The 19,807-nt window shown below is 40.6% G+C and overlaps 1 pseudogene; it reads right to left on the minus strand.

The window, feature by feature from the left end:
* On the minus strand, positions 4,838-5,318 carry MPHOSPH10P4 (MPHOSPH10 pseudogene 4; annotated as a pseudogene).

A 19,807-nucleotide genomic window follows, 5' to 3' on the forward strand; every position in this document is an offset into this window, starting at 1 on the left:
GCTACTTGGGAGGCTGAGGCAGGAGAATCCCTTGAACCTGTGAGGCAGAGGTTGCAGTGAGCCAAAATCATGCCACTGCACTTCAGCCTGGGCTGCTACAGAACGTGACTCTGTCTCTAAATACACACACACACACACACACGCACAGACACACACACACACACACGCACAGACACACACACACACACACACACACACACACACACAAGGCTTTCCATTTAATAAGCACTCAAAGTTCTTTACAAGGTTAAAGCAAATACAGGACCCTTCTAAAGTAAGGCTAAATGCTAAGTGATGGGGGAGAGAAAAAGGACATAAATAACTCCTACTCTCATGAGTTAATCACTAAATCCGATTTTTCTAGAATCACCTGGCCTCTAAGCCCTGAAAATGAAACTGAATTTCTCACTCGATACTTGGCTATGACTTGCAATCATGAAAACCAAGAATTGTGTTATGTCACTGTGTATTGCTTGTTACCTGGGATCAAGGGTTGACTTTTTCATGATTTGCTCCATTACCTGTGTGCTTCTTCTCCCAGTCCAAACTACGCTTTTTTCTAGAGTTCTACAATTTACAGTTAGTATGTAAGGGTGGCTCTCAAACATGTAGTCTCCGGACCAGGAGCACCTGGGAACTTCTTATAAATGTAAATTCTCAGGCCCCACCCTAGACATGAATGAATCAGAAACTCTGCAGTAGGGCCCAGCAATCCGTGCTGCAATAATCCCTCCAGGTGCTCAGGAACCTCTGCCATACAGCAGGTAGAAAAATGTGTTTCCTTCTGTAGGTCCAAAGCCAGGGATACTATATGTTCTGTCTCAATATGAAACAATGACATGCAATTAAAAGACATAAATCTCCTTCCTACTTCCACCCTCCAGCCAGTGTGTTTTATTTTTATGAGTTCAATAAGAAAACGTGTGGCAATCAGAGATTTCATCTAAAAAATATATCTACAGGTATCAGTTCTCATCCAGCCTGATCTCATCCAATATCATTTCTATCCTCTTACATCTAAAGTTTTAGAAAAGGATTTTCACAACGTAAGACTCAGGCGCACTAGGAGTTCTATGATAAAAGACCAAGTAGATCTGAATGTCCAAACTTACTAGAGAAGAAAAGTGGACTCATTGGCTATATTTTCAAATTGCATTCAACAGGAAATTAAAGTTTTGAATTTTTTCCACCTTCATCCTTCCAAGTTAATAGAATTAAACCAGAATACTCCATTCTTCCAAAGCCTGTAGCCAGGCAAACTTTTACTGTATTACTTCTTGCTTTTCAATGGATATAAAGCAGAGTCCTGGTAGGCACATTTTGTATACCTGCAAAGATGCAAAACTAAACAGTTCCCTCGGTTCAATATTAAAACAAAAGTCCTGTAAACCTCAGATGGTGAGTGTAATACTTCAGCACTAGCACGAAAGCCTCAAATATAAAAAGATACCAAGAACCTTGCTAGCAAACCAAAGTAAGCTCTTGGCTGGGAGCAGTAGTTCACGCCCGTACTCCCAGCATATTGGCAAGCTAAGGTGGGGTAAGTCAGGAGTTAAAGACCAGCCTGGGCAGCATAGCGAATTCATATCTCTACAAAGAAAATTTAAAAATTAGCTGGGCTTGGCGGCACACACCTGTAGTCCTAGAGCTACTTGGGAGGCTGAGGTGGGAAAATCACTTGAGCCCAGAAGTTTGAGGCTGCAGTAGCTATGATCATGCCACTGCACTCCAGTTGGGGTGACAGAGCGAGATCTAATTATTACATTCTGTCCTGCTCCTGTTTCCACTAAAATCACTAACTTAAAATGTGTTCATTCAGCAGGATAAAAATTAAGTGAAATTTGACTTTGGTGCTTTGCTAGCAAAAAATAAATAAATAAAGTGAAATGACAAATTACTTACTGGGAGAAGATCTTTGTAAACTCAATGACAGATTAAAGGTTTGTATCCTTAGCCTATAAAGAAATCTTTAAAATTACTCAGAAAAAAAAATGAATGATTTGCAGCAGAAAATGGGCAATGGAGAAACCAGCACTTCCCACAAGAATAAAAATGGCCAATGAGCAAATGAAAAAGATTCAAAAGCACTAGAAATCAAAGAAAGGTAATGAAAACAATGAGATTTTCTGCTTAAAGACCAGCGAAGACGACAAATGGAAGGCGGAACCTGGAGCTCTGTCCCTGTTGGTGGGAGCGTAAACTCAACCAATTTTCCTATAGGATGATTTGAACATTTGTTTTAAAAATCCTAAAACTGTTTTATATTATTTTCTTCTAGAAATTCTACTTCTATGAATTCAGTGCAAAAATCCTCACTCGAGTCCATTAAAATATATATAGAAGGAAATCCACCTCTGGGGTGGCAATGATTCACTTAACATACATCCAGCTGTTGAAAGTGATGATGCCAGGATATATTTATTTCTCCCATAGAAACATGCTTAAAATATAGTAAGTGACAAAAGACCATGTATTGTGATTCTACTTTTTAAAATGTTTACAGCATAAAAAGTGTGAAAAGCAACAAACCGGAATGTTTTGAGTGGCAAAATTAAAGATTTTTCTTTACATTTTGTCATCCAAATTATTACAAAAACAATGTGATTTCCTTTATAATCATGGAAAAGTGTTATTTTCATTTATTTATATTTACATTTCTTTTCTTTTTCTTCTTTTTTCTCCTGTATGTATCCCACATAGGCTACAGAGCTTAAATCCCTGCCTCTTGAGAGAAATCAGCCCATTTTCAGGACATGCAATACACAAAGCTGCCCCATCTTCCCTTTATTTTTATTTTTATCTTATTTATCTTATTTATCTTATTTATTTATTTATTTATTTATTTATGTTGAGATGGAGTCTCACTCTGTTGCCCAGGCTGGAATGCGGTGGCGCATCTCAGCTCACTGCAACCTCCATATCCCGAGATCAAGCGATTCCCCTGCCTCAGCCTCCCGAGTACCTGGGACTATAGGCATGCACCACCATGCCCAGCTAATTTTTGTATTTTTAGTAGAGAGGAAGTTTTACCATCTTGGACAGGCTGGTCTCGAACTCCTGACCTCAAGTGATCCGTCTGCCTTGGCCTCCCAAAGTGCTGGGATTACAGGCATGAGCCACTGTGCCTGGCCTGTCATATTATTTCTAAACATTTGAGTGACATTTCAATTAAGTGAAATTTAATTCTTACTGACCTGATCTCTTATCCTCTGTTTAATGATACCTTCCAGTTGAAAGGTGTTTCCTCTGTAATCACGGGTGCCAAAGGAAATACAACATGTATTCATTAGGTGGATATCCACTAAACCACGGATTCATGCATTGTAGTCCTTAGACCCTCAGCATCAGAAACACGTGGGAACTTGTTAGACATGCAAATTCCTGGGCCAGCCCCACACCTCCTGAATCAGAAAGTGGGGAAGGACAGCTATCTGTGCTTTAATAAGCCTTGAGATGCTCCCTGAAGTTTGAAAACTACAGAACTAGAATACATATGGTAGTAAGTGCTCATACTTTATCCAAGGTACTAGGGACTCTTCCCCACTTTTCCATTCTCTTTTCTGTTGAAATAAAATGAGAGCTCCTTTTGACTTAATGGGTATAAGAAAGAAGGCAATGAGATGACCAGGGTTTCAAGTTAGAGTTCAAAATTTAATCAGTGGACAGTGACAGGATGCAAGCCTTCTAAACAGATTGCTGCAAGGAAGCTGATTATAATCTATACAGTAGGTATCATTAGTGTATTGATGTTAAATTTTGGGGGTGGATTAATGGTATTGTGATTATATAGGAGAAGTCCTGGTTCCTAGAAGATATCTGCGAAAGTACTTAACAGTGAAATGCTCTGATACTGCCAACTTACTTTGAAATGATTCAGAGGGAAAAAGGGCACATATACAATCTTCCATACGCAGAAGACAGAAAACAAGTGTGACAAAACATTAACTAGTGAATCCAGTTGAATAGCATACAGATGTTCACTGTATGATTTTATCAACTTTTCTGTGTTTGCAAGTTTTCAAAATAAAAGTTGAGGGAAAGAAACATCACCCCAAATCTTTCTATGAAATGGGACCACAGAAAAAGCAGAGAAGTGAACACTTTGCAGAAAAGAGCACTGCACCCATCCGGACAGCATGGTCAAAGTGCAGGCTCTCCTCCAGGAGGCTCTTCTCTGGTCTCTTCTGTGCTGTCACTTCCCCCACATGCAGCCAAGGCTTTTTTCTAACAACTCTTTTTCTAAAGATGTAATTTTTGTCATTCATCTAAGAAAGAGAAGAAAAGAATTAGTATACATTTAGAAAATAAAATTACACTTACATTTGTGAAAAAGCAAAAAATACTTTGAAAAGTGGGGAAGCAAGAAATGTACTGTTCTACAATTCTGTTCTGTTCTTACCATCTTTTTATTCTGCCAATGACTTCCTATTCCTGCTGTGCATGGTGGGGTGAGCTGCAAATGATTTCTTTTCCTCATTGATTTAAAATGTCATGTTTATAATGTACCAAACTCCCCCAGAAGCATTTGGGTTTATTTCTGGGCTCTATTCTATTCAAGTAATCTATCTGTTCACAAGCCACTATCAATTTTGATTATTGGAGCATCCTAAAGTTAAGTAATTGTTGTTTTTGTTTTTGAGATGCAGTCTCTCACTCTGCCACCCAGCTGGACTGCAGTGGCGTGATCTAGGCTCACTGCAAGCTCCACCTCCCGGGTTCATGGCATTCTCCTGCCTCAGCCTCCCGAGTAGCTGGGACTACAGGCACCTGCCACCACGCCTGGCTAATTTTTTGTATGTTTAGTAGAGATGGGGTTTCACCTTGTTAGCCAGGATGGTCTCGATCTCCTGACCTCGTGATCCGCCTGCCTCGGCCTCCCAAAGTGCTGGGATTACAGGCGTGAGCCACCGCACCTGGCCCTGAATTTGCTTGAGTTTTTAGCTCTCTCACCCATTTCAGGATTGTCACCACCCATATCTGACACGTCCTCCTCCTCCTCTAAATCTTCTAGGTCCTCCTGGCCATCAGCCTCTGTTTCTGAACCAGCCTCTTCATGCTCCTGTTCTTCACTCTCTGGGAGAAGACTGATATCTTCATCTTTCTTTCACTAACCGCATTCTGGAAGCACTGTAAAATTGCTTCATTTTGCAATTCCAGTTGTTGCAAAGTCTGCTCATCATCAAAACTTTCTATCACAAGTTTTTGTAAAGGGCTGCCATGGATTCTACCATTCTCTACTGTTTTATTAAAGTCATAAAGCACTTTTGTTAAAGAAGTGAACTTTGGTTCCAATCCATCTTGAAACCTATTGGGAGGAATTAAATGAGATTTAGAATTATAGATAATAATTTCACAGCCCTCTTAATTAAAAGAAAAATAAAAACCTCAACTCTTCTGTAAAATCAAATTTGAATAAAGTGTAAGTATAGATTCTGGCCCCAACAACATATAAGCTGATGAGCCACAATGATATATAAAACCTGTCAACCAAGTATTTGTGAATCAGCTGTATAGATTGTTGGCAGGAAAAGCATTACAAATCTATTTGCTTGGAGATATATAGAGAATTAGCCTTAAATTTTCTACTCTGCTACATTATATACCACTCCATTCATTCATTCCCTTATTCACTCAATGATCAACATTTGCTTTGGCTACAGTGGTCAAGGAAAACCTCTCCTAGATGTGACATCTGAGATGAAACTTACAGACAAGTATAGTCTTATAAAGATTGGGAAACATGTATTCCAGGCGGAAGAAACAGCAAGAACAAATTCTCTAAGATGCAGTTGAGCTTGGTAAGCCTGAGGAATAAAAAAGTGAGCATGGCTATAGCGTGAAGGAGGCAGAAGGTGAAGTTGGAGAGACTGATGGGAGCCAAATTCTGCAGGGCTCAAGGGTAAGAGTTTGCCGTTTTAAGTGTAATAAGAAAATGTGAGAAGATTTTAAGCAGAAGGATGAAATGATGATTTATACGAAGGAAGAAGAAAGGGAGGAAGGAGGAGGAGGAAAGTAGAGTGATTAGAAGGTTGATGCAGCATTCCAGGCAAAGGATGATGGTGATTTAAGCTGGAGTTAGAGCAGTGAATATGCTGAGTACAGTTTGGAGGTAGAACTGACAGGATTGCTAAGGAATTAGATACAGAATAGAGAAAAGTGAAGACATCAAAATAGCAGCCTAGTTTTATGTGCGAGCAACTGGAGAGACAGAACTGCCATTTACTGCGATAGGCAAGGCTTGAGTGGTGGAGCAAGGGGAAAGGACTTCAGCGGATGGCAGAGTGTAGGTGGGTAGAAACAACATTCTACTGTATTTTGGACACAGTGAATTTGTGATGCTGAGAGGACCAAAATTTAAAAAATTGTTAAAAGCCGTACGGTGCGGATATCCCAGTTGTGCGCTACTGAATTCCAACTAAGCTCAGTCTGGAGTTGCTTGTGAGCAAGGAACTCAAGGGAGAGGTTGGAGTTTGAAACATAAATGAGTCATAATTTTATAGGTCATATTTGAAGTTCTTCAACAAAATACACATAAAACGTTTGTGTTGGGAAGAGACATGAAAGTTCTAATTCTCAAGAAGCTTAGTGGGGTAGACAGACAAGTGACAAGTTTGTGCTTTCAATAAAGTATGATGGCAGGTAAACACTGAGTGCTTTAGGAGCACAGGCGGAAGGAGAAACCAACACAGTTGTGTGTAGGGGGATGGGGGCCGTAATAAGCCTCAAGGGGAGCTTATAGGCGTGAATAACTGAGGTTAGGTTGATTTCAATAACATTCAACTGAGAGATCCATACTGTAAAAGTTTTAACAATTTTTAAAATTTTGATAGCCTAGGTCCTCTGAAATGTGGGGAAAAGTGATTTACATTTCCCCTTACCTTCCCCCAGCTCCACAATTTGCCAGGGGTCTGCAACCCGTGTCCACGTGCGACCGCAGTCGCACCCGAGCCCGGGATCTGTGCACTTACGTGAGGATGCACTCGGGCCAGCCAGTGGCTTTGCCCACCTCCCTCAGACACCGCTCCAGGGTCCGTCAGCGCCAGGCCCATGGGCCATGGCTGTCTGCAACTCCCGACACAAGCTGCAAGGCAAGAGAGCCGCTGGGAAACCGCACCGCAAGGATGCTGGCATTGGAACAGGAATTAAAAGAAATGAAAAAATGTGTAAGCAAAAACTCAGCTGTATGTAAAAAAAACCCAATTCCCCCTGAGAATGAGAAAGAGCCTTAGTCCTTTAAAAAAACTACCTGTTTTCCTATGGCTAGTGAGCCTTATCGCTCCCTTCCCAGGCATTATCAAAACCCTAATTCCCTAACTGTGCAACTGCAAGGTCACTAAACAAACAAATGCAAGTCACAAAACATATTTTTCCTAAAAACGTAAAAAAAAAAAAAAACATAATGCGTGCTTCAATTAAATAACTCTCTGTTTCTCGCTTCTGTAATATGCTTCCCCCTGCACAGATCTACCCGGGCTCCACAAAATGCTAAAAGATAACTCTTTATTCAGCTCAACGCTTTGATCTGCCTGGCGTGGTGGCTCACTCTTGTGATCCCAGGACTTTGGACGGCCAAGTAGGGTGGATCGCTTGTGCCTTGGAGTTCCAGACAGGCCTGGGCAACATGGTGAAACCTGGTCTTTTTGTTTTGTCTTGTTTTGAGACGGAGTTTCGCTCTTGTTGCCCAGGCTGGAATGCAGTGGCTGGGTCTCTGCTTGCCGCGACTTCCGCCTCCCGGGTTTCGGTCGTTGTCCTGCATCAGCCTCCAGAGTGGCTGGGATTGCAGGCATAAGCCACCAAGCCCGGCTAATTTTGTATTTTTTTTTTATTTTTATTTTGGTACAGATGGGGTTTCTCCCTGTTGGTCAGGCTGGTCTCAAACTCCCGACCTCAGGTGATCCACCTGCCTAGGCCTCCCGAGGTGCTAGGATTGCAGGCTTGAGCCACCGCTCCCGGCCCAACTTATTAATCAGAAAGGAATAGATCGTCCTGGTGTGGTGGCTCACGCTTGTGATCCCAGTACTTCGGATGGCCCAGCGCGGGGTATCCCTTGAGCCTAGGAGTTCCAGACCTGCCTGGGCAACATGGTGAAACCCGGTCTCTCTCTCTCTCTCTCTTTTTTTTTTGAGGCGGAGTTTCGCTCTTGTTGCCCAGGGTGGAGTGCAGTGGCTGGGTCTCCGCTCGCAGCGACTTCTGCCTCCAGGGTTTTAGTAGTTCTCCTGCCTCAGTCTCCGGAGTGGCTGGGATTGCAGGCCTGACCAACATTGCTCTGCTAATTTTTTTTTATTTGTTTTTGGTAGAGACGGGGTTTCTCCATGCTGGGCAAGCTGATCTCAAACTCCAGACCTCAGGTTATCCGCCCACCTCGGCCTCCGGGGATGCTGGAATTGCAGGCGTGAGCCAGCGCACACACCCAATTTATTTTTATTTCATTTTTTATTTTTATATATATATACTTTTGAGACGGAGTCTCACTTTGTCACCCAGGCTGGAGTGCAGTGGTGCGCTGTCTCGGCTCACTGCAACCTCTGCCTCCCAGGTTCAAGCGATTCTCCTGCCTCAGCCGCCTGAGTAGCTGAGATTACAGGCACCCGCTAGCACACCCATCTAATTTTTTTTTTTTTTTTTTTTTTGTATTTTTAGTAGAGATGGGTTTTCATCATGTTGGCCAGGCTGGTCTCGAACTCCGGACCTCAGGTAAACCCACCTCGGCCTCCCAAAGTGCTGGGATGACAGGAAGGATCGGCCTGGCGTGGTGGCTCACGCTTTTGATCCCAGGAGTTTGGACGGGCCGAGCGTGGCGGATCCCTTGATCCTAGGAGTTCTAGACCAGCCTGGGCAACATGGTGAAAACCGGTCTCTCTCTCTCTCTCTTTTTTTTTTTTGAGGCGTAGTTTCCCTCTTGTTGCAGGGCTGGAGTGCAGTGGTGCGGTGTCGGCTCCCCGCGGCCTCTGCCTCTGGGTTTGGGTGGTTCTCCTGCCTCAGCCTCCGAGTGACTGGGATTGCAGGCGGGAGCCACCCTGCCCAGCTCTTTTTTTTTTTTTTTTTTTTTCTGGTAGAGACAGGTCTCTCCATGTTGGTCAGGCTGGTCTCAAACTCCCGATCTCAGGTGATCCGCCCGCCACGGCCTCCCGGGGTGCTGGGACTGCAGGCGTGAGCCACCGCTCCCGGCCCAATTTATTAATCAGAAAGAAATAGATCGGCCTGGCGTGGTGGCTCACGCTTTTGATCCCAGGACTTTGGACAACCGAGCGTGGGGAATTGCTTGAGCCTAAGAGTTCCAGACCTGCCTGGGCAACATGGTGAAAATCTGTCTCTTATTATTATTATTTTTTTTTTTTGAGGCGGAGTTTCCCTCTTGTTGCCCAGGCTGGAGTGCAGTGGCTGGGTCTCCGCTCGCGGCAAATTCTGCATCCCGGGTTTTGGTGGTTCTCCTGCCTCAGCCTCCTGAGTAGCTGGGATTACAGGCGCCTGCCGCCACACCCGGCTAATTTTTTTTTTTTGTATTTTTAGTAGAGACGGGTTTTCATCATGTTGGCCAGGCTGGTCTCAAATTCCTGACCTCCGGTGATCCACCCACCTCCGCCTCCCCAAGTGCTGGGATGACAGGCGTGATCGGCCTGGCGTGGTGGTTCACGCTTTTGATTCCAGGACTTTGGACTGGCCAAGCGTGGGGGATTGCTTGAGCCTAGGAGTTCCAGACCGGCCTGGGCAACATGGTTAAACCCAGTCTTTTTTTAAATTCCTTTATTATTATTATTGTTTTTTTTTTTTGAGACGGAGTCTCTCTGTCGCCCAGGCTGGAGTGCAGTGGCGCTATCTCGGCTCACTGCAGCCTCTGCCTCCCAGGGTCAAGGGATTCTCCTGCCTCAGCCTCCTGAGTAGCTGGGATTACAGGCGCCCACCACCACACCCGGCTAATTTTTTTTTATTTTTTAGTAGATCGTGGTAACTGCCTTAAAATGATGATTGTTCAGAAAGTCAGTTTAATTTAGATACTAAGGATATTGAGGTTATGTAACATTTGAGCAAGTTCTAAAAAAAAGAGAAATAGTATATTTAATTGCTAATAAAGTATTGTCAACTCACAAATATATTCACATAGCATACATTTCAAGAGCAGAATAACCATGAATATAAAAGGAATTAGCAAAAACGAAACAAAAAAGACATGAAGAAATAAAAACAGATGGAACAAATAGCACAAAATACGATGAAAGTTATAAAAGAAACTATGCCAACAATCACAATAAATGTAAATAGACTGAATAATTAAGAGAAAATGACTATAAAACAGAATTAGGGCACGCGTGGTGGCTCATGCCTGTAATCCCAGCACTTTGGGAGGATGAGGCAGGCGGAGGGATCACAAGGTCAGGAGTTCGAGAGCAGCCTGACCAACATGGTGAAACCCCATCTCTGCTAATACAAAAATTAGCCGGCGTGGTGGTGAACATCTGTAATCCCAGTTACTCAGGAGGCTGAGGCAGGAGAATCGCTTGAATCCAGGAGGCAGAGGTTGCAGTGCCGAGATCACACCATTACACTCCAGCCTGGGCAACAGAGCAAGACTCCGTATCAAAAAAAAAAACACACACAAAAAAACACAAAAACAGAAAATAAACAGTATGAAAAGACATCTAAAACATAAAGTCACAGAAAGACTGAGAGAGATTGAAAAAAGATACACCTGTCATATGTACCTAACCCAAAGAAGGGTTGGAAGCTATATTATTATCAGATAAAATAGGCTTTGGGCAAAAAGCAATATGGGAGATTTTTTAAGGCCACAATATAATGATAAAAATTCTAATAAACCAAGGGAGAAGGTAATCTAAAATGTTAATGTATCTAATAACTAGCACTCAAAATACATGAAAGCAAAATATGACAAAATTGCAACCCTCAGAGGGCAATTTAAATACATATCTCAGTATCTGATAAAAGAGACAAAAAACAATCAGCATAGACATAGAAGATTTACATCTCTCTAGAAAATTAACAAGCTTGACCTAATGTACAGAAAAAACATATCTCTCCAAAGTGACAGCATTCACCCCCCCAAGTACATATGTACTGAGCCATAAGGAAAATCTCAACAAATTCCAAAGAAGCGGAATCATGCACCCATCTTTCTCTCTAACCATAATCTCATTAAACTAAAAACAATAATAAAAAGATAAAGTAAAAAGCCAGAAAGGCAGATGCTAAATGAGAAAGTGACAGAAAAGTTACAGATTTTATTAAGCATACAAAGCTTCTATGGGGTAAAGCAGTCAAAGGGATATGCAAATTTACACAGAAATCCAACCGATATAAATCCTTGAAAGATACTACATACAGATATTTCATCAGTTCTCACATGCCAAACCCAGCAAAGCCAAACTTTGGAGCCTCCCCTGCGAGCAGACCTGCCACAGGAGGAGAGGCAGCACAAACCTCCCTTTGCAGTGAAAATGCCACATTGTGTGTGCTTCTTACCCCATCACCTCTTTGGAAGTGGCCCCACTCAGCGCTAGCTGAGAATCGCTTCCCTCATACCACTCTCAGTAGTTCACCCCAAGACACACGGGACAACTCTGTACCTGGTAAGTCATTGTGAATCCAATTAATAATGGCATTCAGAAAGTTAGGAATCTTTGAATTATTAGATTCATAGTGATATTCAAAAGAAAGAAAACGACATCATTTCTGTTCCACGCATGTTGCCCACATTCACTGCGTAAAAGGCAAAGGGAACTGTGAGTACCCACAAAGAACCTGATATTGACGGCACATACATTTCTTCATTAGGAAGAATAAATTTAGACTGTAACAATTTAAAAAACCAGAAAATACAACTGTACATTTTAGTTCTTATTAAAATCCAAGAGGTTTAACTTATTTGCTCCTTGTTTAGGTAATTAGTGTCTAAAACATTTCAAAGATAACATATATAGTGGCTACGATTTCTAGTACTTTTTAAAAATTCAAGCCCAGTCTCTTCTAATTAAATGTATAAATGATTTATCTCTGTCTTTCTTAAAAAGAACCAAGAGCCCCAATTAAAAAGTAAAACTTAAATTTCCTCTTAAAAAATTGTTACGTCAAAATTATCTAATAAACCATAGTTCAGAAAATAATTTCTGAATTAGGAAAATATGAATAATAAAACCAACAGTTTATGTGCTGAATTTCACATTTTTATTTTTTATTATTTTTAAAATTTTGTTTTAAGTTCTAGGGTACATGTGCAGGAGTGTTACGTAGGGAAACGTGTGCCATGGTGGTTTGGTCCACCTATCAACTCATCACCTCAGTGTTAAGCCCAGCACGCATTAGCTATTTTTCCTGATGCTCCTCCCCCACCCGCCCTGACAGGTCCCAGTATGTGTTGTTTCCCTTCCTGTGTCCATGTGTTCTCACTGAACCTCACATTTTTAAATACAGCATATGCCAGGTGTCATTTCAGTACCCATAATTATACATAGTATATGTATATGTGTAAATATATGTATATGTGTACATATATGTATGTAATATGTGTATGTAAATATTATGTAAATATGTATGTAAATATATATGTAAATATGTATGTGAATGTATGTAAATATATACACATGTAAATATGTATGTAAAAATATGTACGTAAATATATGTATGTAAATATATGTATATATAAATGTAAAATATGTAAATATTTGTAAATGTAAAATATGTAAATGTAAAATAAATGTAGAATGTCAAATGTAAATGTAAAATGTAAAATAAATGTAAAATGTAAAATAAATGTAAAATGTAAATGTAAAATATGTAAATATATGTATATGTGTAAATATATATGTGTAAATATATATGTATATGTGTAAATATATATGTGTAAATATATATGTATATGTGTAATATATATGTATATGTGTAAATATATATGTATATATAACACAGCATACAGCATATGCCAGGTGTCATTTCAGTACCCATAATTATACATAGTATAATTATACATAGTATAATTAGACTACTATGTTAGCTAAAAAATGTTGATTAGATACAAATGTATAAATTTATCTTCTCTAAACGTGGAAATTCTCTAGAGGCTATTTCCAGCTTCTGTGTGGATTGTAGAGCAGGCTGCTACCTGTACCCCAAAAATGAACACCTTAAAAAAAAGACAACTTTCTCAGCCTCCCTATTGCACACACATATGAAAAATATGTTAAATTCAACGCCAAATATTCCTGAGATCAACACAGCAGTGATCCCAAAGAGAAAATTTCTCTTTGCTAATGGGCACAAACTTGAAGGGCAAAGCAGTGGAAGGGTAAGTCTGCAGACTCGCGTGGGGCTCAAGTCAGAATCACGTGGAAGATCATTGCCACATGTTTTTGTTTTTTTAAATAGCAAACACCACCAAGTGGAGCCCGCCGGGTTTAGTAGATATTAAACCTCTAAGGAGTGGCACATCCGAGACTGAAATTCCCATCTTTTGATTCCCAGCTCAAGGTCTCTGAAATGCCAGCACCAGCTGTGAAATTGTTCTTCTGCATTTTCATGGAGACCTTTTCTTCTATACTGCCATACTCTTTTTTTTGGAACAGTTATACCTGATCTTCCTATTTTTGTGTGTGTTCCACCGAAACTTTTTCACTCTAAATACTTCCCTCTTTCCAACTGAGCATTTACATCTGTAACAAGGACAAAAACATCTAACATCTCTCTCACCCTTGGTTTGTGTTTTGTTTTGTTTGTTTTTGAGACAGGGTCTTGCTCTGTCACCCAGGCTGGAGTGCAGTGGCGTGATCACCGTTCACTGCAGCCTCGAGCTCCTGAGCTGAAGCAATTTTCCCACCTCAACCTCTGAGTAGCTGAGACTATAGGTGTGTGCCACCACGCCTGGCTAATATGTGTATTTTTTGTAGAGATGAGTTTTTGCCATGTTGCCCAGGCTGGTATTGAACTCCTGGCTTAAGTGATCCTCCTGCCTAGGCTTCCCAAAGTGCTGGAAGGAATTACAGGTATGAGCCACCGTGCCTGGCCTCACCATTGTTAAAATTATGGAAATCGTGTTTGCAAAGCAGGTTGGCCTGTTTGGAAAAGGGTGTCATAATTTCTCAGGTAACTCCAAAAAGAGAAAGCTACGAAAATTACCTTAATACATTCATTACAGTCTCAGTATAAGATTATAGCTTCCTCTCCCAAAGCGTAACCACAACCTGACGCAGGATGAGTTGGTTTGAAAATACCGCATACAATATCCTCTTGAGTAGAATCATAATTTAGAACTCTAAAAATGACCGGAAACAAAACTGTCCAAGTTTGTTTAACGTAATGTGTTTCAAATTATTTGACTAGAAAACCCTTCATTCGTGCAACACTTATAAATATCCCATGGCAAATCTAGTTTTCTATGAATAATGAACGAAACATTTATAATTTAAAACTAAAATTGTCTTCTAAGCAGAGATCTACGTATCAATAAAATGAAGAAATAAAATTTCCATACTGTTTGCTTCCCAATACAAGGATTAGAAGGAAAGGGAAAAGAGTAACAGCGAGAATCAATAGCCCATGTCTGGCCAGGCTCCATGGCTCAATCACACCTGTAATCCCAGCAATTTCAGAAGCTGAGGCGGGAGGATCACTGGCCTTTAGTGATCCTTGAATGAAACTCCATCTCTAAAAAATTAAAAATATTAGCTTAGAGAATCATTTGGGCCCAGGAGTTTGAGGCTGTATTGAACTATGACTATGCTACTGCATTCCAGCCTGGGCAACAGGCTGCTTAAACCTGGAGGGGCAGAGCTTGCAGTGAGCCGAGATCGCGCCACTGCACTCCAGCCTGGGCAAAGGAGCCAGACTCCGTGGCAAAAAAAAAAAAGAGATTCTATTCACAATAACAACAAAACCCTGAGAATATATCTAGCAAAGTATACACAGGCCTTTCATGAAGAGTATTGCCATAGCCTGAATGTGTCTCCCAAAATTCATGTATTAAAACTTAATTCCCAAGATGATAGTACTAAGAAGTGGGGCCTTTAAGAAGTGATTAAGACATAAGGGTGAGCCCTCATGCATGAGATTAGTGCCTTCCTTATAAAAGGGCTTGTGGGTGGTGGTAAATCTGTCCCTTCTGCCTCATGAGAACATAGCATTTGCCTGCTCCAGAGGAAGCAGCATTCAACGTACCATCTTGGAAGCAGAGACCAGGCCCTCACTAGACACTGTGTCTGCTGGAGTCTTGATCTTGTTCTTCCCAACCTCCAGAACTGAGAAAATAAACTTCTGCTCTGTGTAAATTACCCAGTCTCAGGTGTTTTGTTATGGCACTATGAAGGGACTAAGACAAATATAAAAATTACCCAGGGACTTAAAGGAAGAACTGACTAAACTGAAATATATGCCATATATATTATGAATCGTAGGACTCAATGCTATAAACATACTACTTCTCAACAAATTAATCTATAAATTCAAGAAATTCCTACACAAATCCCAATAGAATTTTTTTGTGGAACTCGAGAGGCTGATCCTAAAATTCATACAGTCACTTGAGGGACCAAGAATAGTGTAACAGGGCTGGCGGGGCTGGTGGCTCACACCTGTAGTCCCAGTACTTTGGGAAGTCAAGACTGGAGGATGGTTTGAACCCAGGAGTTCAAGACCAGCCTAGGCAACATAGCAAGATGTTGTCTCAAAATATTAAAAATAAATAAATAAATAAATAAAAAGAAGGTTAAGTATGCACATTTTGTTGTGAATTTCAATTTTATAGTGATTTTTTTTTTTTTTGAGACAGGGTCTTGCTCTGTCACCCAGGCTGGAGTGCAGTGGTGCCATCTTGGTTCACTGCAACCTCTGCGTGGGCTCAAGCAATCCTCCCGCCTCACTCTCTGGAGTAGCTGGGACCACAGTTATGTGCCACCACACCTGACTAATTTTTATATATTTTTTTTGTAGAGACGGGGTTTTTCCATGTTGCCCAGGTTGTTCTCAAACTCATCCACCTGCCTTGGCCTCCGCAAGTGAGATCACAGACATGGGCCACTGTGCCCGGTCTAGTGCGCTTTTTTTTTTTTTTTTTTTTTAACCAAACAAACGATGAAGTCTCAGGAGTAAAAGTTGATACACAAGTAAATTTTATTGGTAATGTTTTTGTGTGGTCTTTAAGCAGAGGGAAAATTAGTCTGCATTATGGTGTATCCAGACTAAATAACTGATATTAAAATGAAATTATCCTTAGGATTTGCAATCTTAGAGAAAACTTTTTCATTTTTTTTGAGTTACAAATTATCTTCACTTACATTTGAGAACAGTGAGTCACAGAGGGATTAAGTATCTTACTCAAGATCTTGCAAGTGTTTGGTTTGAACCCAATCTTTTCACTCTGCAGAACTCAGAGTCACTCTTATTTGGAAACTTTTTAACTGATGTGGATCCTCTAATATGGGCTTCCTATTATTCATTCCGTATTAGTCAGAAGTTTTGCAAGCAGGCAGAATTCATTTTGCCAATTACGGGATTTTCCCTCAGTTGCAGTCAAGGTTCATAAAACTATAACTATTTATCTTTAATTATAAATTTTGTTTTTGAGACAAAGTCTTGCTCTGTTGCTCAGACTGGGATCCAGTGGCACAGTAACAGCCCATTGCAGCTTTGAACTCCTGGGCTCAAGGGATCCTCCGCCTCAGCCTCCCAAGTATCTGGGACTACAAGTGCATGCCATCATCCCTGGCTAATTTTGTTAAAAAAAAAAATTGTAGAGATAGGGTCTTGCTTCGTTGCCCAGGCTGGTCTCAAACTCCTGGCCTCAAGCAAGCCTTCAGCCTTGGTCTCCCAAAGGGCTGAGATTACAGGTGTCAGCCATTGCACCTGGCCAAAACTGTAACTATATATACACACACACATAACTACATATATATGTGTGTGTGTATGTATGTGTGTGTGTATATATATTTTTATATATAAATAGATATATCTGAAAGGCATCAAAAGAAAAAAGCTGTAACTTTTAGTCTTGATCTTGATAGTGACTTGATTAGGCTATCTGTTTAACATCAAAGATGCAAATTAATGCTTTCTTTGGGTGAGCATATTAAAAATGCAGAAAATATTGGAGTAGTTTTTTATGTTAAATAAATTGTATTCTGTGTATTTAAGGTATACAACATGATTTTGTGGGATGCATATAGATGGTTAAAAAAATTACTACAGTGAAGCAAATTAACGTATCCTTCAACTCAGATAGTTACCCGTTTTCTTTTTGTTTGGTGGCAAGAGGAGCTTAAAATCTCATTTAGCGTGAATCCCAATACAGTACAATTTTATTACCTATATTTCTCGCGTTGTACATTATATTTCTAGGCTTGTTCATCCTACATATCTGCTACTGTGTAACCTCTGAGCTATGTCCACCCATTTTCTCTCTTGCCCCCCAAGTAATTTCCTAAAGTGTCTCATATAAAAAGGCAGTAGCTTTCAGCTTAAACTTTTTCTCTGTATATATTTAAGTCAATTTCTTTGAGGTATGTTTTTCTCTCCAGAATAGTTAGATGTAGGCATACCACTTTAATGTTGACACTAGTTCACCTAGAACTTATCTTCTGCAAATCTGTCTCTATGTCCATCTCTGTCTCCATCTTTGTCTCTATCTTTATCTCTGTCTATCTATCTATCCATCCATCCATCCATCCATCTATCTATCTATCCATCTATCTGTCTATCTAACTAAAGCAAATTCATGCCCTTCTCCTATTTATGGAATCGAGACCATAAACAGAGGTGAGGGAAAGAATTTGGCAGGAATTGCGATGTGTATTACCTGTGGCATAAGGAAACTACAGAACTAGGGTCAAAAGTATACTTTCTAGTTCTTTCCCATGGCTTTTCACTTTGATGTAGTCCTTATCAGGCAACTGAGGTTTTATATAAGTCCCCTGATTCTTAGAACATGAAGGTGTAGTATTCAAGTTTGGTCCCTTGAAACCACAATTTTTGTTAAAAAAATTTAAGAAAATTGTATGATTTCCTCAGCAAATACATATTGATCATCTGTTATACAGCCATGAGAAGTGGTTCTGTTGAACACGTTTATTTTATCAGATCCCAATTCTAAACCAGGCATAGAATGGAAACCATGAAGGTAGGATGAAATAACTTCTGAATGTTTGAAAATAGTGTACTTAAAAATAAATATCAGGTGTTTTTGTTTTGTTTTTTGTTTTTTGTTTTTGAGACAGGGTCTCACTCTGTCACCCAGGCTGGAGTGTGGTGGTGCCATCTCACCTCATTGCAGCCTTGACCTCCCAGGCTCGGGTGATCTCCCACCTCAGCCTCCCAAGTAGCTGGGACTACAGGCACATGCCACCATGCCCAGCTAATTTTTTGTATTTTTTGTAGAGACAGGGTTTCACCATGTTGCCCAGGCTGGTCTAGAACTCCTGGGCTTAAGCGATCTTCCCACCTCAGCCTCCCAAAGTGCCAGGATTACAGGCATGAGCCACCATGCCTGGCTGAAAATACCAGGTTTTTAAGTATCAGCACTGCCTCTTCAATCTTTTCTATTACTATGTTGTGCTCAGTGGTATTTTTTATTGAATTAGAGCAGTGCTGTTCAATGGAACCTTCTTTGAGGATGGAAATCTTTTATGTCTCTGCTGTGTGGGTATGGTATTAACTGGGTATGGGGCACCTGCCTATAGTCCCAGCTACTCAAGAGGCTGAGGTGGGAGGATCACTTGAGCCCAGGAGGCCGAGTCTGCAGGTTCGTACCACTGCAATTCAGCCTGTGTGACAGAATGAGACTCAGTCTCAGAATAAAATGAAATAAGGAAATAAAAATGTAATTGTTGAAATAAGAAACTAGTGGATGGATTAGACACGAGAAGAAAGAATTAATTGTTTAGACGATTCTCTCCAAAAAGTAAGTCAGCATGTCACACAGAGAGACATGAGGATAGATGATAGGGCAGAAGTTGGTGGGCTTGGAGGGGAGAGGAAGATCAGAATGAGGTCCAAAATGTGTCTTAGTGAAATCCCAGGAGGAGATATTAAAATTATATTAGAAAGTGAAAGAAATAGAAGTTTTATTTATTTATTTATTTATTTATTTTGAGAAGGAGTCTCGCTCTGTAGCCCAGGCTCGAGTGCAGTGGCACGATCTGAGCTCACTGCAAGCTCCACCTCCTGGGTTCACGCCATTCTCCTGCCTCAGCTTCCCAAGTAGCTGGGACTACAGGCACCCACCACCACGCCTGGCTAATTTTTTGTATTTTTAGTAGAGATGTGGTTTCACCTTTTTAGTCAGGATGGTCTCAATCTCCTGACCTCATGATCCACCAGCCTCAGGCTCCTAAAGTGCTGGAATTATACGCATAAGCCACTGCACCCGGCCCAAAAGCTTTGTGTTTTTACAAATATTACACACGTTTCTTGTTTAAGAAAAAAAGTCTTCACAATAACGTAGGAGAATAAGAGAAACATTTTTCCAAAAAAGAGAAGTCATTGTGATTATTTTATCTTATTGGAATGTTGGATAATATAGTCTGCTTCAGTAATCATCAAGCATGCTATGGATTTTCCATTTTCATAGGATCTGTATCTCGGTTAAGGTAATACTGGTAATTTTTGTACTCTATGAAAAATATAGGCCAAAATCATAGACCTTGCATAGAAGCTGGATCATGAAGACAGCTCTGGAGGAACACACAGGTACACACACACAGACACACATATATATAAAGTATACACATATATATTTTTTAAAAGCTTTTAAAGCAAAAGCCGGCCCTGCCCCTCTCCCAGAGTTGGCGGCCTCTCCCCTCTCTTAGAGTGG

The sequence above is a fragment of the Homo sapiens genome, chromosome 15, assembly GCF_000001405.40.
Source record: "Homo sapiens chromosome 15, GRCh38.p14 Primary Assembly".
Taxonomy (NCBI): Eukaryota; Metazoa; Chordata; class Mammalia; order Primates; family Hominidae; genus Homo; species Homo sapiens.